Genomic DNA, 24,845 nt, shown 5'->3' with positions numbered 1-24,845 from the left:
ATAGTAGAAGCGGTTTTCTCTTCTACTGAATTTTTTCCCAACACACACAAATATTTATATCACATAAGTTTATAATAATACATATATATACACACACATATAGACACACACACACGTTTTTACACTTATTCTTCTAGTATTATAGACCTAAAGAATCCTAGCTGAGACTGCCTGTTCAACATTTGGATTGCAGAATGCTACAGGATAAATTTTTTAATAAAAACAAGTTTTTGATTTGGTCTTTAGCCTTAATAATAACACCATCACCACTATTAATGAGTGTTATGCATCTATGCACCTTTTGTAAGTTAGTTTAGTCAATTGTTAAAAAACCTTATAAGGTGATTACTTTTCTTTTTTTTTTTTTTTTGAGATGGAGTCTTGCTCAGTTGCCCAGGCTGGAGTGCAGTGGCACGATCTCGGCTCACTGCAAGCTCTGCCTCCCGGGTTCATGCCATTCTCCTGCCTCAGCCTCCCGAGTAGCTGGGACTACAGGCGCCCACCACCATGCCCTGCTAATTTTTTTTTGTATTTTTAGTAGAGACGGGGTTTCACCATGTTAGCCAGGATGGTCTTGATCTCCTGACCTCGTGATCTGCCTGCCTCAGCCTCCCAAAGTGCTGGGATTACAGGCGTGAGCCACCGTGCCTGGCCAAGGTGATTACTTTTATAATATGTTTAATGGATTAGGAAACTGATGCTTAAAGAATTATTACATTAGGGCTGGGCATGGTGGCTTACACCTTTAATCTAAGCATTTGGGGAAGCTGAGGGAGGAGGGTCATTTGAGGTCAGGAGTTTGAGACCACCCGGGCAACATAATGAGACCCCATTTCTACGAAAAATAAAAAGAAAGTTAGTCTGGCATGATGGTATGTGCCTGTACTCCTAGCTACTCAGGAGGCTGAGGCAGGAGGATCACTTGAACCCAGGTGTTCGAGGCTGTGGTGAACTATGATTGTGCCATTGCACTCCAGCCTGGACAACAGAGCAAGACCCAAAGAAAAAAATGATTAAATCATTTGCCTATGATTTATTTCATAGTCTGTCTGATGCTACTGCCTGAGCACAGAATATGCTAGAGAGTTTATCCCACTCTCAGTCAAGAAAGCTGGTCTTTGGTAACCACAGCTAGTCACACATTGGCTAAGGTCTATGCCGGGGGGTGACAGGGAAGAGTCTACTGGTCAAAGCAGTTCCTGTCTACTGGACAAAGGCAATTTTCTGGAAATGAGGGCAGCTGTGAGTTTTTGTATGCCAAAATTCACGTGTACATTGCCTGGTAGAGGTAATCTCAATGGGGAACCACTAGCATTTATTACTATCAACTTCTTGCATCTCTCTTCACATCCTTCCCACATTAAGTTCATGTCTTCTAAAGACAGCTTCTTTAGGATTTGGGTTGGTTAGTTTTGGGAAAACTTATAAAAAGAGAGTTTGTGAGCAAAACCATAGTTAGGTGCTGCAGTTGGTCCCAAGCACTTCTTTAAGTAAAATGTGTTGGCCTGAGATGACGTTGGTAGATCAAACACTCTATCAGTCTTTGAATAGCAGTGCTTGCTAAGGCATGTGGACAAGAAAGGCAAACCCAAACCTGGAATATGTGTTGATTCCAGTCAGTGATGAATGGCTGCCACTACCAGAGGAAAGAAGTCCAGTAACATCAACTTGCTGCAAATGGCTGCCTGGTTTTCTTGAGGAGTGGTACTCTTTTGAGGTCTCAGTATTGTTCCCTTTTGCTGGCAGGTGGGATATTCAAGAGGGTCAGGAGCTATATTAGCATTAGTGAGAGGGAGACCATGCTATCTGGCTCACAGATAGCTTCCATCTTTGCCGCCATAGCCACTTCCTTTATGGGTCTACGGTGCAAACATCGGTGTGGTGAAACATAAAGGTTAGAAGACATCTACTAGTGGAACCAACTTGTCCACTAGGTGGATAAAGGCCTCTTCTGTAGTGGGTGCTCTCTGGTTGGCATTAACATGGGATACAAAGATTCTCACACTTTGTGCTCATTCTCAAAAGTCCACACATCTGTTACTTCCCCAGACCTCGTTGTACCCAGTAATCTAATTTAATTGTTTCCAAGCTACTCACCTACCAGATAAGCCATTTCTCCTTGTTCTTGAGTCTATGGATCCTCTTATCTTGGTCCACTTTTTATGATCCCAGTGTATCACTCCATGCGGTTTCTGAAGCTCTGCCCAACAAAAGGCCTTTCTCTCAACACTCTTTTCTAGTCTGGTCCTGAGTGGGGACATGATGCAGCTACCATTCTCTTTTGGCTTGCATCCATTTACTACACTGACCCATCTGTGAACCAGGCTGGTGTTTTTCCTCTCCCTTTAGTTAGTCATAGAAAATGCCTATGCAGTTGAAGCATGAGCTGAGGATGGGCACCAGAGAAGCATGGGTTCTGAGCAGGCTGTTCATGCACTTTAGGTGTCCTCCTGACCAGCTTGAGCCTGACTGTGGATGTACCATGTCCATTATATTATGGATTGCTGCTAGAACCACCTGAAGTGATGATGTGGTGGATCTGAAAGTATCCAATTTATGCTGAGTAGTTATGGCCACATAGTCACTTAATTCCCAAGGTCAGATGCTTAGATCCTGCAAGGAATGAGTAGCATTCCAGGACCTGTTTTTTTGAATGCTGTGTAGCTCTTTGCTGCATGTAGCATGGATTTGCTTCCAAATCACTAGTTTCTGTTGTGACTCTCCTAATGGGCCTTGCTAAAGGCTCTACACGGTGTCTTTATCTACCACAGATACCTCTTGTATCATGGAATCTGCTGAATCATAGAGATCAAATGCCAGCAATTCTAAAACCACAGGAGGAACTGCTGCAGAGCACTTTCTTTTTCTGGGCTTCAATCAAAGGTAACAGCTTTCAACCGAACATGATGAAGGGGTAGTTTCAGCATTCCCAAGTGCAAGATATGCTGTTTACAAAACCCAAGAAGACTACCAAGGGTTGGGTTTCATCCTTTGTGGTAGGAAATGTGAGGTCTTTTCCCATTCTCTAAATTACATGTGCATTTCCAAGGCATGCATAGTACATGCCAAAAAGTGGAATGCACATGCCTTGGAAATGTACATGTAATTAGTTAATATGTTAGTTCATTTAATATAATTTGATTATGTTATCATACTAATATGATCACTTAGTCAATATGATATTAATTTTCAAAAAATTGTCCAGGCTGTCCAGGCCCCTTCAATCTATATTACGACAGACAACATGAGAATTAACATAATCTTGGGATATGACAGTAAGTTTATATCCCATGTGAATGTAAACTGCTCTGATCTTTCTTTGTGAGTATGGCACGGTTTTCCAGTTCAGTGTCTACATGCTATCTCTCTGAGGCTGTGTTAATCTTGCCTAAGAAAGATAATCACATGTAGTACTGTAAATCCAACCAGCCTTTTGCAGGGGCCATACTGGTGAATCAAATGGGAATGAAGTAGGGAATATCAGCTCGGCATGTTTAAAGTCTTTAAGCGTAGCACTGGCTGTGTTATTGTGCTGTGATGTGATATTGTTTTTATTTACTCTAATTGCTGGGGAGGGTGGGGATAGTTTCAGAGTTTCTCACTTGGCTTCCCTATGATAACCACTTTTACTCATAGATCAAGGAAGTTTCTGCCAACTGCTAAATATATCCGCTTGAATTATACATTTAGGGACTGTGGAAATGACAATCAAGCAGGTTCATGGGCCCAGTATCCCCACTGTGGATCAGACCTGGGTCAGAACTCCATTCCTTATCTGAACATAGGGAGGGGGCAAGATGGCACTTTGGATCTTCTGCTATCAAATTACACTTGGGTCCTGCATCCAAATAGTCTTGAAGCATCTGAGTATTCATCTTTTCTGAGTGTGCCATTATAAAAGTAAATAGTGATAGGTCCCACTGGGAAAAGAAAGCCTACAGGTGCCATTGATTTTTTTTTTTAATTAAAAAAATTGGCCAGGCGCGGTGGCTCACCCCTGTAATCCCAGCACTTTGGGAGGCTGAGGTGGGTGGATCACAAGGTCAGGAGTTCGAGACCATCCAGGCCAACATGGCGAAACCCCATCTCTACTAAAAATACAAAAATTAGCTGGGCATGGTGGTGTGCACCTGTAATCCCAGATACTCAGGAGGCTGAGGCAGGAGACTCATTTGAACCTGGGAGATGGAGGTTGCAGTGAGCCGAGATTGGGCCATTGCACTCCAGCCTGGGTGACAGAGTGAGACTCAGTCTCTCTCTCTCTCTCTCTCTCTCTCTCTCTCTATATATATATATATATATATATATATATTTACTTAACATTTTTGTGCCTTTTTTATTTCCTATTTACCAAGTTCTGCCACAGGATCTATGATATTGTTTTGGAAATGGGGTCTTGCTATGTTTTCCAGGCTGGACTCAAACTCCTGGGCTCAAGGAATCCTCCCACCTCAGCCTCCCAAGTAGTTGAGACCACAGGCACCTGTGCAGCAGCTATGTCCCTCCATTAGTCAATGAATTCTACCCCTGGGATCTGGCTCCTATCTGGAAACTGGGCAAAATTTTATAACTTGCCATTGAGGAGGAAAACCTTGGCCCTCTGCTCATTTATTATTGATTTCTTTTGGATATACATAAAACAGTACCCTTGTTGGCTGACCATTTATCTTGTCCCTAGGAACACCATGTATAAGCCATCACTATGGGTCATGATAAGTCAGACCCTCCTTGCTGTCATTCTGTTTTTGCTAACCATACTACCCAAGATTCTATTATCCCCATTGCTTCTAGAGAGTACAATTCTGTAACAGCATCTCTCCTACCAGGAGATCAACCTACAGAGGAAAGGCACTACTGGACTTGGTGGCAATGCTGGTGTATTCTCTGCCAGTTTGTTTCTTGTTGCCTCAATAAACAGAGTACTCTCCAGGCCCTCCTGCGGAAAATGATGAGCTGTTGGATTTTCCATCTTAAACAGGTGACACTTGAACAACATGGGGTTATGAGTCCTTACCTTTCTGTGCCGTCCAAAATCTGGGTCTAAACTTTTGACGCCCCCCGCCCCTACCAAACGTAACTACTAACAGCTTACTGTTAACCAGAAGCATTACTGATAACAGTTGATTTATACATTTTCTGTATGTTATATATATTATATACTATATTCTTACAATAAAGTAAGCTAGAGAGAAGAAAATGTTATTAAGAAAATCACAAGGAAGAAAAAATACATTATTCATTAAGTGAAAGTCGATCATCATAAAGATCCTCATCCTTTTGGTCTTCACACTGAGTAGCCTGAGGAGGAGGAGGCAGAGGAGGGGATTGGTCTTGCTGTCTCAGGGATGGCAGAGGCAGGAAAAAACCTGCATGTAAGTGAATCATGCAGTTCAAACCCATGTTATTTGAGGGTCAACTGTATAACAGATCCATTCTAGCATGCTCAATTCTCTACACCTTTTGAGCTCTTTCTCACAGTTTTCCATGGTGCTTTTTCCATCTCTATTTGACTTAATGTCAGCTGTAGCTTTTCCCAAGCTTCTAAGAGTCATCTCAGCAGTGTTCGAGATCCATCACCTAATGCTCCTGACAGGGAGTTAAATCCTGTAATACGAGGGAGTTCCCTCATGTTATAAAGCCTCCTTTATCCAGCTTTATATTCTACCTTTCTTGATCCAGCTCCATCAGGATCCACTCTCAGACATAATCTCCTGGTTCCTGCCAATGATACTATCATTGGCCCCATAGCAACCTTGGTGTATAATCGTTTTATTTCTTGATGGGTTCTGCACTTCTCTGGGCTGGTTGTGCTGAGATTTAACTATAATTAAAAGCCTAGTGCCAAGGCTGCAAGGAGAGGACAGGTTGTGAGGAGGTAAGCCATTGCCTTGTTTGAAACCTGTCTCATTTGAGGCCCCTACATTGTCTTAAACAAGGAGGGATGAGTGCTTTTCCAAAAAGGAGTTGGCCATGTCTGCTAGCCTGAGGTTCTGAGAAATTAAGGATACAAGGCTCACAAGGTTACTTACCCATGTATCACCATCTCAAACTCGGAGCCCTGTGCTGTCACAGAAGATGTGCCTAGGCCAAAAATCCTCTGAAGTTCTGACAATGTTACACTGAAGTTCTATCTACAATCTTCAGCAGTATCTACCCTCTGTCTTCAGGGGATGAGAGCCTTTTTAAACGCTGCCAAGGAGGCCTCTGACACACTTTGTTTTAAATTGTTAGGAGGTCTGAGCCTGTCATTTTCTTTCTTCAATAAATCAACGGCACTTAGGAACAGCCACTCGATTTCACAGTCTTTATAGTTGCCATTTCCCATATCTCTGCAAAGCCTGTGAAATTTCACCAGTTAGTGCATCCCTTCCGCCTGGATCCCATCCCATTCTACCCATGTGAAAGTTGAGTAGTTGCATACTGCAGCATGCCAGAGACTATTAACACACCACCTAACACCAGGTATTCGGATTGGCAAGCCGACTGCAGGAAAATTCCATCCTTAGAGTTTTCTTCTTGAGTTTACTTCTGGTATAAACTGACTTAGGTTGAGTTCCTTAAACGCAGAGGCTGAGATGGGGATTCTTGTTCAAGTGATTGATGAAGGGAGTGGGAGGAAGCTATTCTCAGGAGAAAAGGAGTAGGGAAAGCCTGATAGAGTGGGCTTAAAAGGTATTTATGAATGTGATCTCAAATGGAGACTAGCTTCAGTCTGAACCCATGGGGAATCTTTAGAACACAAATTGCAAGAAAGAGTCTCATCCTGAGATGAAGGCCCAGTCTTCTGTTCCTAGGCAGCAGTTAGTCATTAGCTGAAGTTTGCTGGGTGGCATGATGGGAATGTGTATTGTATAGACTTCCAGGTGTGGATAACGCTCTAGATAAAGGGTCAGCTAAGAGTTGTTGTTATCAGCCAATACTCAGGGTAGCTAGAGAACGGGTATACTAGCAGGTGGCAAATCTGCACAGTGCCATCAACATCATCCATATAGTAGATCAGGGCAGTTCTTGAGATTCTGTATTTCAAACTATCTCTAAGGTGATGCCAGTGTTGCTAGTCTAAGAACCACACTCTGAGTGGCAAGAAATTGATTATTTTGTTTTCAGGTTTTTCTGTTCAAGAGATTGATGAGGGGAGTGGGAGAATAGCTTGGAAGCTATTCTCAGGAAAAAAGGAGCCGGGAAAGCCTGATAGAGTGGGCTTAAAAGGTATTTATGAACGTGATCTCAAATGGAGACTAGCTTCAGTCTGAACCCATGGGGAATCTTTAGAACATCCTTTTTTTCTTTCTCCTGCATCCTTTTTTTGCTTTTCTTTCCTTCATTCTTACTCTAATTATGTTGAGTCTATATCTGCTCTCCAAACCAGTTTGCAGCACTGCCTTCAGAGAATGCGAGAATCTTGCAGGTTTCTTTCATAAGAAAGGGAAGAAAAACATCAATTGATTGGTCTACTTTTCTATTTATACATCCAGTTTCCTAGAGCTGGCTTTATCCAGGTTGTTTCCTTCACATTAATGGACAGTTCTTTAAAAATACTACAATCGTAGGAGCTGATTCAAGGAAAAAAAATACCCTTAGCTTTTTGTGAGCAGATTAAGAATAACAAAGCTACCTAAAGTAGGAATCACAACCAATCTTTTGATTTCATTGTAGTGCTGAAAGAAATATTTACAAGACTAATTATACCCAAGTCACCATTTGGGATGTTAAATAAAATTTGTGAAAGGCTCTTGATTTGGACTAGGCTCCTATACAAAGCCTAACAGACCAAACCGATATGGAGTTTAGCTACAGTAGCTGAGTTTTAGTTAATTGCAGGAGTCTCTGTAACCAATTAACCAATTAAGCTGTAACCAGTTAAGTTGTCTCTATACCAAACTTCCATTTCCTATAAATGCTATTAGATCATGTTATTGGTTGGCATTCTCTGAACTTACTCTGGTTTGAAGGACTGCCCAGCAGGTAAAATCGTTTTTTTTTTTTGTTTGGTTTTGTTTTGTTTTTCTTTGCTCAATTAAACTCACTTAACACTTAAACTTGTCTAAGACTTTCCTTTTAAGACATTTGGTATCATTGGTAGGATTCAGGACAGAACTCCAGCCACCCCGGGAACATCAAGCAACCAGGCGTAGGTGCATACTGAGACCACTGTCTTCCCTGTTTTCTTGCATTTTCTGGGAATCATTGGTGAGTTCTCTCTCAAATTATGAAGCTCTCCAAATGTGTGTTTTGAGCTATCTGAGTGTTTTTGAGCATTTTTTAAAAAATCTAAGCTGGGTTTAAAGTCTCCACAAAAATGGAACTGGGTTCAGTAGGTAAGGTTACTCTAAGACAAAGTCACAGATTCACTTGGATCCAATAAGAAATTCCATTCCACCTTCTGAAACTCCACCGAGGGTTACTTTGTGCTCTGAAAAGGCATATGTGTCCTTCTTGGGGTGGCTGTTTTGTGTTAAATAGAAACTGGAATGGGTCCAGGGTCTGGAACTCCTACATTTGGAATCCCAGCCAAACTCATGCATAAGAATCCCCAGAATTATACTTTTTTTTTTTTTTTTTTTTTTTAAGAGGAATGGGCAAACCTTGCCAAAGGTGATTTGGAATTATAGTGGCCACAATTAGAAAGTTTTAATTTGGGTAAAATTATCTGTAGGATATATTAGAAAAGGAACAATCAAAAGCCCCACAGAAGCCATGACATTCATTTATTAATTAGTACACAGGCTTTTAAGAGACTAAAATGTGAGGGGGAAAATTGTTTATATAAGTTGAGCTCTTAGATCAATAGGGTCTAAAATTTGAACTCAGAATAATAGCAAAAAGTATCCTAGTCTTGTATGAAAAATGCTTTGTCTGCCTTATTCCTTAATAGGCTCTGCCCAGAACTCAGTAATTTAGTTAAAAGAACACAGGTTGAGTTGGGAAGCAGCTGCCTATTTTTAGTTATTTTAAGACCTATCTTTAATGAAGGAAACTTGTGTCAGTGGAGGAAGTCCCGTGTACAGAGGTGTCTTCCTCTCTACGCCAGGAAGACAGGAATAACTAAGTCACTAGAGGCTTTGCAATAGGGAAGGCAAAAAGACCTGAGTCTATGTAACAAGCCTTGCCTCAGACCATTTTGTTTTAGCTGGGCTTTCTACTTTCTTTGTCTCAGCAGGTAATGGTATTTAGGTCTGAAACCTGAATTCAATGGATGACCTAGGTAACAATAACTTAGGGCAATAATCTGGCAGGTCATTCAGGAAATGGTCACGGATCCGTTACCCCCCTTGCTGAAATAAGTCAATTGGTCAATGGGTAAAGAAAATATTCTCATGCTCTGTGATTGTTTTTTGAGAAAAATGAATGGGCCTTTAAGAGAATAGATGATGATTAGTAGCAAGGTCTGTCAGGGTGTGATGAAACTTCCTTTCTTGTGAGTTAATCTTCAGAGGAATGGTAACAGTAGAGTCCCTTGGGAGAATCTGTCTTCAGCAGTTAAGAGGAATTCAGAACGCCTTGCCTTGCTTACATGTTGGTAATCAATATCACAGTGATATATCTGGGGGTAATATTTTCTGAACTTCAATGGCTACCTCTGTGTAATGAGCAATTTAAGCATATTTGTTAAGAATGAGTAAACTAGGTGAATGTAAATAGGTTGGAAACTTGTAAATGAGTCACAACAATCTTCCATTATCCAAGGTCTTAAAGTTATGTTGGATTAAGTGATAGATACCTATGAAATGTATGACTCATTTTTCAGTAAGTTAAGATATTGAAACTTGCTCTTCAACCCTTCTGATCTCATTGTGTTTTGGGGGAGGAAAACCTGTGATTTTTTTTTTTTTTTTGACTAGTCTGGGACTTTCCAATTAACTTCAGTGATTGGGATAGGCTAATGGAAACTGTTCTAAAGATAAAACAGCTGTTCATGTCTTTCATTGAGAATGTAGAACGTGTCTTCTTGGAAAACAGAGTAATGCAATGATGAGCTCTTTGAGGCTGATAATCAATGTATGGCCATATTCATTCACTAAACAGATATTTGACTATATACTATGTGTAACACATTGTATTAGGGCCAGGGATATAAACAGAGTAGATGTAGTTTTTTCTCTCAGTGTCATAGGAGAAACAGATGCATACATACACACAGTATAAGAAAATTAGTAGTTACATTCTAGAAAGAAAAAGAATTGTCCACTTCTATCTGCAAATAGTTGAATGGCTGAACTGAACTTCTTGTGTCAGCCATTTCTGTTGCCACTTATCTAATACCAAACATAGTGCTCATCTCGGTTTATGTCTGATAATGAGTAAGTTGTGCTAGGGGTATATTGTGTTTTTTTTTTTCTTTTGCAGTATAGAAAACTCAGGTGCATTTTGGTCCTTTAAACATAAAAAGGGTGGTACTATGAAGACATATGTTTCTAAGCTAAAATGGTGCTCATCTACAAAATGCTACTACAAAACAGTTCAAGATTGCTTGCTTCCAAGGTTTCCATTGGAAATTAAGATTACTACGAATTGAGGAGATTCTAATTAATTGAAACAAAAACTATGGCTTCCTATATGAGGAAAGTAAGACATGTTTTTGGTTGGTGAATCTATACCATATGAAAGATGTAGGTTTTTAAAAATTTTTTGTTGAGAGTAATTTTGTCTAATTTACAGATTGTTGAAAGTTTGTTTCAGAATAAAGAAAGGATAGATAAAAGTGGATAAGAAAGTTGTAGAAGGTTTATGGAAGATAAGTCTTGTGAAAGAAATTGTATGCGGTCAAGCTGATAAGAATTAGAAGGGAATTGTTTTTCTAAGAACAGAGGATTGACATCAAATGTGTAACTATGCAAAATTAGAATCTGTACTCTATGTTAAAACGAAAAGGTTTTTGTGTAGAATTGATCTGTTCTTAATAGGAAATAGAACCTTATTAGGTTGTTTGATTACTTAGGAAAACTGAGTTCTTTCTACTGAAGAGTTAGGATTTTCCCCACCACTATGTGTGTATTTAATTATCACTCTGATTAAGTGATCATTTCACAGTGACCTGTAAACCTCTATTTTTCATGTTACCCCAAATCAAATGATAAATTAGTCTTTTTGATCTAAAATTGACTTGGGATTTTCTAGGTGGGTACCTGGAGAGCATTAGGAAGTATCTCATCTTGTAGAGATGTTAAACTAATTAGGCTTATTTCATATGTTGTATGGAAAACATTGGCAAATAATATGATGTTAAATCTTTTTGAATTGTCTTTATGAATTTGCTTGAGAAATTCTATGAAATTCATAGAAATCTAATAGTCCTAATATAATGCTATCAGTGATAATTGTAGTTGTTATCTTCAAATGTTGTATGCAATAGAGATAACCAAGCTTCCTTATCAAATGCTGGTTATGATGCTTTAACATGGCCATTATAAGTCTTTGTCATTCAATTATTTCTTCTCTAAAAGCGTTTTCAGTTGGCTGTAGCTCAAAAAGTGTTGCATTTTCAAAAAGTTCATGGAAAGAACTTTGACAAGTACAAGTTTTTGATAACTTGAAGATCTTACCACTAGACTGAGTGGGAATTCTGAAATTCTTAATGATTGGTTAATAAAGTTAACACAAAATCAAGTAGAATAAGAATTAATTGAATACCAAGGAAGTGTTCTGGCAGATTTTCATGCTCGGCCAGCCAATGCTGAAACTGTTACGATGTGCAATTTGAATGAACTCCTTAAAATTGATCCAAGTCAACTTCCCTATAATGATTTATTAAAGAGTACAAATGTCTTAGATTTGGAAAAGCAAAATCATTATCTGACGTGAGAAGTTCAGTGTTAAACATGTATGCACAAAAGAACTGGATGCCTGCCTGGTCATCCCTGAATCCCTGAAGCTCTTATTGTAAAGAGCCTTGCACTTTGTAACTCATCATGGAATATGTAAGATGACCCAAATGATGAATAAATATTTTAAGGTGACTGTATTAAAATTGCTTAAATGGTTTATGGCCAATATTTGGTTTGTCAAGCCTATAGTCCTGGTGATGGTGCAGCAGCCTGTCTAGAGTGGCTGCTGCCATGATGCTGGCTTCAGTGGGGGAGGTACAGCTGGGGCTGCCTACTCCATGGAACCAGTGGGAGCCAGGAACAGGCAGAAGCCCCACTCCCTTCCGAGTTGGAGGGGCAGCCTCCTGGATGCAGCTGCAGCCACGGTTTCAGACCTGGGCATCTCTGCACCCTTGGGGGCCCAGGCAGCCCACCTGCTCTTGTAGGCTCAGGAGTACCTGCTCCTGCTACCTTGCCTCTCCCTGTTCCTGGCACCCACTCTGATTTTGGAGCAAAGCTGTGGCTGAGCCCTGGCACTGTCACGATCTGGCCAGGTGTGTCTATGCTTGGGGCAGTGCCAACATGCCAGACCCCTGATGCCTTGTCCCCCTCCTGACTTTGGGTGCTGATGAGCATGGTAGGGAGGCCAAGGGAGGACTAAGGGTGACTCAGCATGGGCCTGGAGGCACCCCTCAGCAGGAACAACATGGATGCTGTGGGCACCATGGATGGCAGGTTAATGGTGGCAGGAGGCAGACAGGTTCCTGGGTAGAAAGGGGTGGGTCACCAGAGAGCCTCCACCTTCAGTACAGGGATGGTGTGAGGCCTGAGAACCAGCCTCGTAGCTGCCAGTTCCACAGACTGGAGTAAGAACTGGTCTTTTTTTTTTCTGGTCCCACCCATGGCTGCTCATGGACCAATCAGCACACACTTCCTCCCCTCTGAAGGCCATAAAAACCCTGGAGTCAGCCAGACTCAGTCAGACAACAGGATGACCTACCTGCGGAGAGGAGTGACCCACTGTGGGTCTTCTCTCTGCTAAGAGCTGAGTAGATGTTGGGATGCCCTGCCTGCAGAGGGGAGCTACCCACTGCAGGTCACCTCTGAGCTGTTGTTGCTCAATAAAGCACCTCTTTGGCTTGCTCATCTTCCACCTTTCCATGTACCTAATTCTTCCTGAACATGAGATAAGAACTTGGGGCCTGCTGAATGGCAGGGCTGAAAGAGCTGTAACACAAACTGAAACACACTCTTTGTTTGTCATGCTGGGGGTGACAAGAAGAAGAGAGAAGGAGAGAAGAGCTTGGCTCTTTGGGGAGCCCAGAACTAGGAGCTCCCTGAGCCATAGCTGTGACACCCTCTTTGGGGCTCTGTGGTTCCTGGTATCTCTAAGCTTCCAGGCACTGCCACATTCCCTGGTGCCAGCTGTGGAAGCTGCTTGTCATATGCCTGATCTAGCCACAGCCTCTCAGGGAGCCGGCACTGGTGCTGGCACCTGGAGCTGGACACCCTGATGCAGACAGCATGCCTGGCTGTTTGCAGTGGTTAGGCCCCATGCTTACTTTCTGTATTAGTCTGTTCTCACTCTACTGATAAAAATATACCTGAGACTGGGTGATTTTTAAGGAAAGAGGTTTAATTGACTCATAGTTCCACATGGCTGGGGAGACCTCACAATCTTGATGGAAGACAAGGAGTAAGTCACATCTTACATGGTGGCAGGCAAGAGAATGTGTACAGGGAAGGAACTTCCTTTATAAAACCATCAGATCTTGTGATACTTTTTCAAAACTATCATGAGAATAGCACGGGAAAGGCGCAACCCCATGATTCCATTATCTCCCACTGGGTCCCTCCCAGAACACGTGGGAATTATGGGAGCTACAATTCAAGATGAGATTTGGGTGGGAACATAGCCAAACCATATCACTCACTCACACACCCCTCGCCACTCTGTGCCTGGCTCGCCATTGGCAGACATGAGATCCAGGCCAGTAGTGTGAGCCGAGTGCAGCCTGCCAGGTTGAGTGGGCAGAACAAGCTCAGCAGGCCTGAGCAAAACTCAGGCCAAGGTGCCACCAGCCACAGAGTTTTCTGGCTGGAAAAGTGGCACCTCAAAGATCCTGTGACACTGGGAGGACAATCGAAACCCCAGGTGTTTCAGTTCTGTACATGACAGATCATTTGAACATTTATAAAGGAATTTCATTCCATTACTGTTTTCAATAGGATGTAAATGTGTTCTTGTAATAGTTTATGCTATTTGGTTGTATAGAAGCTTTCCATGTGGGAAGATGAATGTATAACAGTCCAACAATGTCTAAAGTTGGACTGTTAGCCATACTCTTTATACATTTGCCTTATTTTTTAGAGCACATTGGAGCAGAATGTAAACATTAAAAACATTAAAATGGAAACACTATGCCAAGGACCAGTATTGGAAAGGCAAGGTAAAATGTTCTGGAATTGACTGAAAGTTCTCACTTAGGATGCCTAGATTTACTTTAGAAAAAAACTTATCATAGCATTATCCTCCTTACTGTGAAATTTTTCTGATAGACTGATAACTGCTTCATATTGGGGATGACTACTTTTCTATTATTGCTGTCTGCTTTTCATTAAGTGTTGTCATCTTTCATGGTATGAAGGTGACAAAGAATGTAATGGTACAGATCATCCTTAATTCCCAAATGAATGTATTAAAATTGGACATTATTAATATTATCATCATAATCCTCATCAAAATTAACATTCATTGAGGGCTTACTATGTACCAGGCAATATATATTATTTCATTTAATCCTCACAACATTCCTATGAGGCTAGTACACTTATTAGATCCATTTTACAGATGAGAAAACATACTCAGAATTTTAGTGTTTCGGTTTTCTTTCCCCCAGTCACACAGCTAGTTTGTACTGGTACTCGGATTTTTTTTTTTTTTTTTTTTTTTTAAAACAGAGTTTCGCTCTTGTTGCCCAGGCTAGAGTGCACTTGTGTGATCTCGGCTCACTGCAACTCTGCTTCCCGGGTTCAAGCGATTCTTCTGCCTCAGCCTCCCGAGTACCTGGGATTACAGGCACTCCCCACCATGCCTAGCTAATGTTTTGTATTTTTAGTAGAGATGGGGTTTCACCATGTTAGGCAGGCTCGTCTCAAACTCCTGACCTCAGGTAATCCGCCCACCTTGGCCTCCCAAAGTGCTGGGATTACAGGCGTGAGCCACCATGCCGGCCATGGTACCTGAATTAAAACTGAAGTTGGTTCACATCAGAATTTACAACCATAGGCACAATTGATTTATGTTGAGTAGTTAGCTTGGAAGGCAAATCAACTTCAAAGAGAAGGTAAATGTTTTAGGTTTAGTTTAGAAATATATTGGTGAAAGCAAGTGAATTCAGGAGAACATCTATAGGCCAAAAATAAATCATAGAGAAGAATAAGATAAGAAGTTCTATATTGCAGAAGTATGCATTCTTGCAACCACAAGAGTAAAAGCCCTGAACCAGACTGTAGTGTTTCATGGTGGTTTTTTTTTTTTTTTTTTAACTAGAGGTTTCTTTTGTTGGTCATCCTTATGATAGGCTGTCTTCCTCATGATAATCTTACTGAGAAATGTTTATGCAAATAAAGTACATGTTATCAGTTGAAAAATAAGTGTTTTTCATGTCTTCTACTTGGAGAGAAGTCTCAGAAGTTTAGAAGAATTCTTTGCTCTGAGAGAGAAGGAAGTCACAATGGAATGACCTCACATCATGGATAAAAGGGGCTTTCTTGTGCCTGCATGCTATAGAACTTTGTTGGTACTGCAGAATTGTGTTTTCTAGTTTGTTTATAGTTTTTGTAAATAAGCTAAATGTACCACACACTCGTAGTGCCCTTACTGTTTGATATCATTGCTGCATTGGAGCAGGGGACAAAAGTATACATGAAAAAGGTTAGATGAGTCAACGTTAAAGAAACTCCATGTGTATCAAGAAAATAGCTTATGTTACTTCTTGAGGGATGGGAGGATTGGAATAAATCTTGTGTATATCTTTCATGACTTCAAGTTACCTGTAAGTGATTTTTAGGCATGAATTATTTTGGCTATATCTAGAATTGGATCGTAACGAAGACTTCCTATATATCATACCTAGCTCACCAATTGGGATATAACCAATGGGCATAACATAATAGAATTAACACTTAGACTATAGTAAATGGGTTTAATATATTTTTATTAATCGAGGATGCTTTTGAACTGGGTTTTGTTTGTTTGTTTGTTTGTTTGTTTGTTTGAGACAGGGTCTTGCTCTGTCACCCAGGCTGGAGTGAAGTGGTGTGATCTCAGCTCACTGCAGCCTCAACCTCACAGGCTCAAGCAATCCTCCCATGTCAGCTTCCCAAGTAGCTGGGACTACAGGCACACATCAGCATGCCTGGCTAATTTTTTTTTTTTAATATAGATGGAGTTTCCCCATGTTGCCCAAGCTGGTCTTGAACTCCTGGGTTCAAGAAATCTGTCTGCCTCAGCCTCTCGAAGTGCTGGGATTACAGATGTGAGCCACTGTGCCCAGCCTGGGCTTTCTTTTGACTAGCCATAAAAGCCAACCTGGATAACTTGAGCAAAAAATAGGATAGAAATGATATTGGATATTTTGTACTTCACAGAATTAACAGGAATTCTGTACAGCTTGGCTCAGAAACAAACAGTAGTTCCTTGTGTTTAACTAGCAACAAGTTTTCAAAAGGCTCTTCAAGCTCTGTTTAAATGAATTATCTTCAACACTTTTAAGTCTCTTTACTCCAGGGCTCAACATTCAAATTCTAGGAGGGTATCCTCTGGTTGGCATGAGGCATATGCCACCACTGTGGTTAGAACAGGACTCAGAACCTTGCTTAACAGCCTTAGCGGAATGTACACAAAGAGCAAGCTAGTAAGTTCCCCAAAGAACTCTGAATACTTTCAGCAAGAGAATATGCAGTGGATGCTAGGAAGCCACAAAAGCAACAGCTGACCTCTACAAGGTCATTGCAAGTCTTGGGACTTAAAATTTGCTATTATAATATTTAAACATTACAAGGGTAGAAGAGATGTTATAGAGAGGGACCAAGTTCAGTCTAAACTGAAGTGCCTGAACCTGATTTAGATTATAAGCCTTTAGAAAATATTATAGGGTATATCTACATAATTCTCCTTAAGTGACCTTTTGCAAAGCCAAGTACATTCAGAGACCTAATCAACTTGTCATGCTCTTGCAGCTTATCAGAGAATTCTAACTTCAATGGCTAAATACTGGGCCCATTGCTAGGGGTAGAGATACAAATAAGACATGCTCTGACTTCAAATAATTCTAAGTCTGGCATGGGGGAAATGAGAAATGCTTGCAACTTGCTATGATGCAGAGGTATAGATGCCTCCTTGCAGAATGAATAAAGAGGCATCACAGGAAAAAGAGATTCACTCTTCTTGGAGGTGCTGAGGAATGCTCAATGGAGAAGATGACTTTTGAAGTAGATCTTATAGAAATGGCTATTTTTGTTTCTTCTGAGTTAAGGGAAGGACAATGGGAATTCTAGATAGAAAAACTGCAGTAGATGTATGGAGATCTGGAAAGGTTGAGGAGGGTGCACGGGGAGTGGAGCAAGCTCATGGGTATGAGCATGAAGGGAGTGGATAGCAAATGAGTCTAGCCAGTGAAGGGGATGCTATTGTAAGGATTTGGGACTTTACATTGAATAAAAGATTAGGCATTGATGATTTCTGGATCAGGATGCTGTGTTGGGATCCATAGATTAAAGAGGGGGGACATAGACTGGCGGGGAAGATAGATCTGAGGTTATCACAGTAAGCCCAGGAGACATGTTGGAGGGCTGCAGTGAGGCACGGACATTTTTCAGGCTTAATCAGTAAGAAATGGGACTGACTTGATATAAGGGGAACAGAGAAAACTCAAAACATGCTGATTGTTTCTAGCTCTGTTCATAGGGTCACGATTATATTAAATAGGAAAAGAGAGACAGATTTGGCGAGAAGCAAATGAGATTGGTAAGATACACATTGGTTAAAAATGTGTAAGCTCTTAAGATTTTTAACTCATTCTCACCTATCAGGTCTGGGCTGGTTGTTTCCCCAAATATTACCATGTCAGTAATAAACATAAAAGATCACACCCAGCAAGCAGGTAATAAACACACATAACCTTCATCCTCTACAATGCCTTGCTCAGATGGCTCTCCCGTGGTGGGAGATAGGGGTGTATACTTGAGAAAAGACCAATGCCTGGGCAGCCCAAGATAGATGTCTAATAAACAAAAAAGACCTAATATGATCTAAGCTATGGCGTCCACTTGCTAGACCGGGCAAGCTGACTTTATTACAGACTGCTGTAGGTTATTAAGGTAGACAGTGACAGATCATTTTGTAAGGCCCAGAGAGAGCCAGATCCATCTGCCTAGAAAAACAAATAAATCCCAGTTCAGAACTGAGGTTAAAAAAGATTTACAAGGCGCACTGATGCATGTGCCCCTCTCTGGGTGGGTTGTGGTGGCCGGCCACGGGGGTTGCCCTCATTGGTTCAACACAGCCTGCCATCTGGGGAGACAGCAAGCTCTTGGGCTCATATTACAAGGCATTTTCCCATTTCCTTTTCTATGGTCTAGCTTCGGCAGAAAAAATGGACAACAGGCTGGAGGAGGATAAAAAATAAACAAGAGAGGGAAAAGAGTCTCTCTCTGAGCAATCTTATAAAACAAAGCATAAATCTTTAACTGCCTGACCTTTCAGCTCACATGATTCTTGGTGCAGGAGGGATAAATCAGAGCTCATCTGGAGGCTCAGGGGAGGGCAGCTTTCTGCCTTCCAACAGGAAGCAGCCTATTTGCGGAAAGCACATAGGTGTGTCCTTGTTTTTAATAGAAGCTCAATTGATTTCCTAGAAATTGAAATGTTCCCTTGGTTGGGAAATGAAATTTCTACTTGGCCGTTCCACCTCTGGCCACCTCTTGGTGGCAGGTCTTATTGCATATTGCTGGAATTAACAGAGAAAGGCCAAGTAAAAGGTCTTGGGGGCAGACTTCCTCATAACAGGGAGCCCCTCTCCTAGATGCAAATAAAACTGGCAAAGGTTGAGGGTTTTGCAGATGCAACTCCCTGCAGTATGGTGAAGGGCGTTTCATTAACCCTTCTTGTGCTGATCTCCAACTTGCCTGTCTTGTGTTCCTGTGTTGTCATCATGGCGCATAACTACTCCATTAGAGCCAAGGGTCAGCTCCTGGTTTCAGCAACACAGCAGATATTTTCTATCTGACGGCTTTGGTGCTCTTGACTGCAGCCAGCCCCTTCATCACAGCAACCAGAGTAACATTTACACAAATACTTGTTTCTTTAATATGTGGGGAAAGGAGTGTGCTTTTTCTTAGCTAGCTGACAATCATTGTGATAAACAGGTTTCTCCATGTAAGAGAAATTTTTCTTTTTTACTTTTTATCCAGGGAGGGTGGTGGTGGTGACTAGAAACAGAAAAAGGATAAATTATTAGCTTCAAGAAAGCATCAGGAACCAGATTTTGCTGTTAAAGCCCACCTCAGTTCATAGAACCAAAGGTGTATTTTGATGATTTTTTCTCTTTTTGGGGGGAGAGGGTCGCTAGAGTGGCTCAAATGTGAGAGAAACAGGTATGTCGGTCCAGCCTGAGATACTTATTAAGAAAACAGAATCGAGAAAATATTGTATTCAGTTTGAAAGGAAAGGTATTCTGAATCTTTCTTAGATTTATTTTCCCTGAGTCTGTTTTATTTGTCCCCAGCAAGAACTGCAGCTACCTGATGAAGTGGGTGCACCTGGTGAAGCAGGTCCTACCTGGTGATGGGAGGCTTCTTCCTGACTTCCCAGGCCCGTCCCAGGGTCAAGAGCAAAACCACTCAAGGAAAAGAGAATATTCCTTGGTTTAGGATATCTGAGGGTATCTGGTATTTAAAGAACAATGGCCTTTATGTATGAAAACTTGCTATCCTTTTCTTTAAATGTTATTCTGTTAGCAGGTTATTTCCAAATTCACTTTTTGCAAAAATGTGCAAGCTGTTCAAATACGGAAAAGGAAATAGGGATAATTTAGGAGGTGGAGTAAGAGTTTTGATATTTTTGGAACTGCATCATCAATTTGCCTCTCTTCATTTTATATTTACTATTAATTTTGCTTGTCCTATTTCTCAAGATTTAAATGTGGCCTAGTGGGGACCCAATGAACTGAAAATTAGAATATAATTTTAGATCTACTATTTAGTTTTTTGTCTCAGAGTAATTTAGCTTCTATGTTTCAGATCCCGAATCTACATCCTAACTGATGATAATTAATATAACTTTAAAAATTGTTGATTTTACCTATATATGTATACAAATTATATTTGTATTTAACATAATTTTTGAAGAAATGAAAACCACAGTAGCCAAAAAAAAAATCCAGAAAAGGATTTACATGGGGAATAACAACTAAGTTTATATTTGTTTCTTATTAACATATTTTTCAAATACTTATTAATAGTCAAAGGAGCTTGGTCCTGGTTTTCAGAGTAAATTTTATATTGAATAGATTTTATTTATTACAATAGTTTTAATAAAAATCCACCAAAAAGTGGTTCAGCATTCCTAATAATATATGAGGGAGCACAGAGGAAGACTTATTTTTAAAAAATGATTGATATCCTTTTTTTCTAGATTATTCTTTATTAATCACATTTAAATGGCAGTAGCATAATCTCAGTACTTTAAATTTAAAAAGTTAACAGTTCAAAGGCTGCCCTTGGCTAAAGGCTATGCACTTCAGATATTTTAGTTATCTATTTCCTGTTTATTTTTTATTTTTTGATATAGGGACTCACTTTGTCACCCAGGCTGGAGTGCAGTGGCATGATCTCAGCTCGTTGCAACTTCCGCCTCCTAGGCTTAAGCAATCTTCCTGTCTTAGCCCTCCAGGTAGCTGGGACTACAGGTGTGAGCCACTGTGCCCAGCTAATTTTTTTAAATTTTTTTTGGTAGAGATGGAATATTACTATGTTGCCGAGGCTGGTCTTAAACTACAGAGCTCAAATGAACCATGCACCTCAGCCTCCCAAAGTGTTAAGCGTGAGCCACTGTGCTCAGCCAGTTATCTATTTATTTACCCAACTAACTCCAGTTTGGAAGCTACCGCTACTTAGGTGAAGCTCTTCAATTTAGTCATACATGTGGTTGGTGGGCTTATTTAAAATGGCATTCATCTTGCCCTGCAGGAACAAGATGATATTTAAGTTACTAAGAAAGGTACTCTGAAAATTGGGAAGAAACAATAAAATCAGATACCCTTATTCTCTTCCCAGAGCACGAAAAATGCTTCCGCCCCATAAGTGTACACCTGTTATCCTACTTAGCAGCCTCTGTGCAAATCATTCCCTATTGTTAGGGGAGCAGAGAGGGTCCGTGTTGTAAGAGGCAATACAGAGTTTATTTTGCCTCTGAATCATAAAGAAGCATGCTAATTTTCTATCATTTGGAAAGGATTTGAAAGTATGATGGATAGTCATCACTTTGTTAATTAACAACTCAAGGGCCACCCACAGCGGTGTATAATAACAGAGCAGCTGTAAAAGGCACACTTGCTCACCCTAAGTCCACCCAAGTGCACCTTTCTAGGGATGGCTGTCTATTCCCAGGAGTAGCCATTAACAGATTACGATTTCCTCCTATGTAGCTGTTTCCAACAGATGTTTTCTCACTTGACTTTGTATGGCGGAGTCACTTCTTTTGTTGCTGCTGTTGCTGTTTCTTTTCCTCTTTGCTCGTATTTCCTCTTAATTCATCCACTCAGACAGGAATAGTCTTTCAGTTAGAAACATGAAGAAAACCACCAAACCACAGAATAGTTGCTCAAACCATACCACCTATAAAAAGACCTACTTTTAGAGAATTGATGTACCCACCCCTTGTTCCTTCTTCATTTTTGTGTTTCGAAGACACGGCTTCTTAGTGGCCATGTTTTTTTTCCTCTGAGGAAGTAAGAAACCAAATTAAAAATGTCACATGTGTACAGTTGGCATGCCATTTGACAAGCTTCCTTTTCTTGTACAGCTGTCAAGTTTAGTTACTCTGAACCAGAGCTTTGCACATGGAATGGGGAGGACTTTTCACCATGCATACCTAAGACAGAAGTACTACCCTTTACTTTCTCGGTGACAGAGTGTGTGTCTCTTTCAGCTCTTTACTAACAGCTGAGGCCAAATGTGTTGTCTGCTGGAAACGTCCTGCCCTGTCTGAACATTTTGGAAATACGTGCTCATCACTCAAACCTCCCTCTGTACATTGTCAAAGTGAATTTTTTTTTAATGCTTTCATTGCTCTGGCTCATTCAGGCACATCATTTATGTGGCATAGTTGGCAAGGTTTTACAAGCTAATGCAATTTGCATTAAAAATAGCTGAAAATGGTAATAGTCATTATAATGCCTATTTGACCAAGAACAAGTAATGGCTTGCGATTAATCAGTTGTAAAAATTGGTAATTGTTGCACCCTCTTAATCTTTTTCTCTCTCAACCAGAATGATTACACCTCGTTAAAATCTGAATAAAACATCATTATCCTGTATCATTAGGAACCCTCAGCCTCCCTTGCATAGTAATTTGTACTCAGCCTGAGCAAATGAATGGCCTGTGAGAAATGTTATTCTAATTCCAATTAGCTCTCAAACCCTGGCACAGAGCCAGCTCACAAAACAAAATAGCTGTTAATGTTATAGAAGGCGCATCCTCGCAGCAAACTGAAGTGCAATTAGGGATTCCTTTTAAATTCCACATCATAAATTGTTCCCTTATTAGCTATTTTAGATACTGTAATTTAACTAGTGTTTATTCACAGCCCCTAACAATTTATCACAATCAGGCCTTGAAGTTTTTTAAAAAGAGAAGAAGCATGTTGTCAAGACCCCTGGGATATGTTAGGGCAAAAGCTTGCAAAATAATGAGAATAGCAATTAAAGTGAAGCTTTAAAAAGGAAGCCCTCTGTTAATGTCAGGAGGTTCATTGTAATGAAATCTACATCTTAAATTAAAGGCAAAACTTACTGTGCCCTACCAGAATAAGAAAGCTTAAACATATCAACGAAAACCAGCAGCAGCTTGATCATTCCTTTGCCATCTGACAGATGAAATAGGTTTAACACATTTGAATCTTAGGGTTTGTTGTTTCGTTTTTTCCCCTTTTCCCTGCCTACATGGGGGCGGTCAAATAGTGATTACTAATCTCACACTCTGTATGAACTGAGAACGCTTTTGTAGGTGGCAGGATTAACTTGGAAGTTTGAATTTATGTGTCTGATTCGTGTGTGTGTGTGTGTGTGTGTGTGTGTGTGTAATATCACCTCACGTAACACACTGCTTTATGCACTGTACTGCACATACAGTTTATTTCCATACATATGCAGACAGTGCTCTCACAATGAACCTGCATACATGGGAATTATTTTTAACATCAATCAATTGCCTATGAAAAGATGTAGTAAAACCAGTTGTTTTACCTCATGGCCAAATCTGGTATTAGAGAACATCGAGAGTGCAAATGCACAAACTATAGACACATTTTGTTTCCACCAGTAGCTGACTGTACTTTGCTAAGTTCTTTCTTAGCATGATATCTATGGGTTTGCAGTTGTTGAAAAAGCCATAATCTGTTTGTATCGAATTGTCGTAGTTTGCACATGCAGAATGTGCCTGCATACAATTTCAAGTTAAAATGATCATACAGAAATGCTTTGGCAGACAGAATAATGCCCTCAAAGATGTCCATGGCCTAATTCCCCAAACCTGTGAATATGTTACCTTACATAGCAAAGCAACTTTGCAGATGCGACTAAAACAAGGACCTTGAGATGTGGAGATTATCCTGATGGGACAGATGTAGTCACAGGGATCTTCTTAACAGAAAGCAGAAGAATCATGCCAGAGAAGGAGACGTGATGTCCGAAGCACGTGTCAGAGACTAAGACACTGGAAGACGCTACACTGCTGACTTTGAAGGTAAAGTAAGGGACTATAAACTGGGGAATACAGGTGGCTTCTAGAAACTAAAAATGGTGAGGAAATGATCCTCCCCTCAGGGCCTGCAGAAGGAACTGGCTCTACTGACACCTTAACTTAAGCCCAATGAGACTGATTTTATACTTCTGAGTCCCGAATTTACAGAGAATGGATTTGTGTTGTTTTAAGTCATTAAATGTGTGGTAATTTATTACAACAACATAAAAAGCTAATACTCATGTCTATATTGGATTTTTGTATATACTTTTCTATTTCTTAGCAACTATGATTGATCATATTCCTTAAATCAAAAGGATGCACAGGATAACAAAAGTAATACTGAGTGAGAAAAAGAGTGAAGAGCAATGGAAAAGTTTAGAATTATGGAAGATCATTGCTGTTAGGAGGAGTTTAGAAATTATTTAGAATAGTTATTTGTGTTACAGGTGGTGATAAGATATGACCAGATATATCCAATGACTTGTGCAACTTCATGGAGATGGTTCATGTCATACTGAGACAGCAATACTACAAAATGATTGCAGGCAATAGAGAATTTCAGGCAGCAGTTTCACATAACTAGCAAGAGGAAAGTATTGAAGTAGCTGCAGAAGCTAGAGGCTGATAAGACCCTCAAAAACTAGGATGTGGGCCAAGCTGGCTAAGACCAATTAGACCCAACACGGCCCTAGGTTTGACCTAGGTTTCACCTAGGGCCTCATTATATGCTCATTAACATAGTAAATCTCACACTCACTGGTGCCATGAGTTCTGAGAACACCTATATTTGGTGTAAAAATGAGTGGCACAACAGTTTTGAGAAATTTCTGCCCTTTTCCAGGAATCTTCATGAATGTTCCACCTCTTGGTTAAAGAAACTCATAAAGGCAGAACCCACATGCCCCACCGTGCATGACTCTGTCCCTTGAGTTCACCTGCAATCCCCTTTCCTGAGTGTGTACTTTTGCTTTGCAATATATCTCCATACCTCCATACTTTCACTATTTTCTGAC

General features: G+C 40.5%; 1 annotated feature.

Annotated features, from left to right (window-relative positions):
- Positions 21,859-23,114: an enhancer, noted in NCBI's record as "VISTA enhancer hs240". NCBI's record gives its function as "enhancer in: forebrain[7/7]" and the evidence as "EXISTENCE:transgenic organism evidence [ECO:0001131][PMID:17130149]".

The sequence above is a fragment of the Homo sapiens genome, chromosome 9, assembly GCF_000001405.40.
Source record: "Homo sapiens chromosome 9, GRCh38.p14 Primary Assembly".
Lineage (NCBI taxonomy): Eukaryota > Metazoa > Chordata > Mammalia > Primates > Hominidae > Homo > Homo sapiens.
Note: the sequence above shows the minus strand (reverse complement) of the source record. Positions and strands in the feature narration are given on the sequence as shown.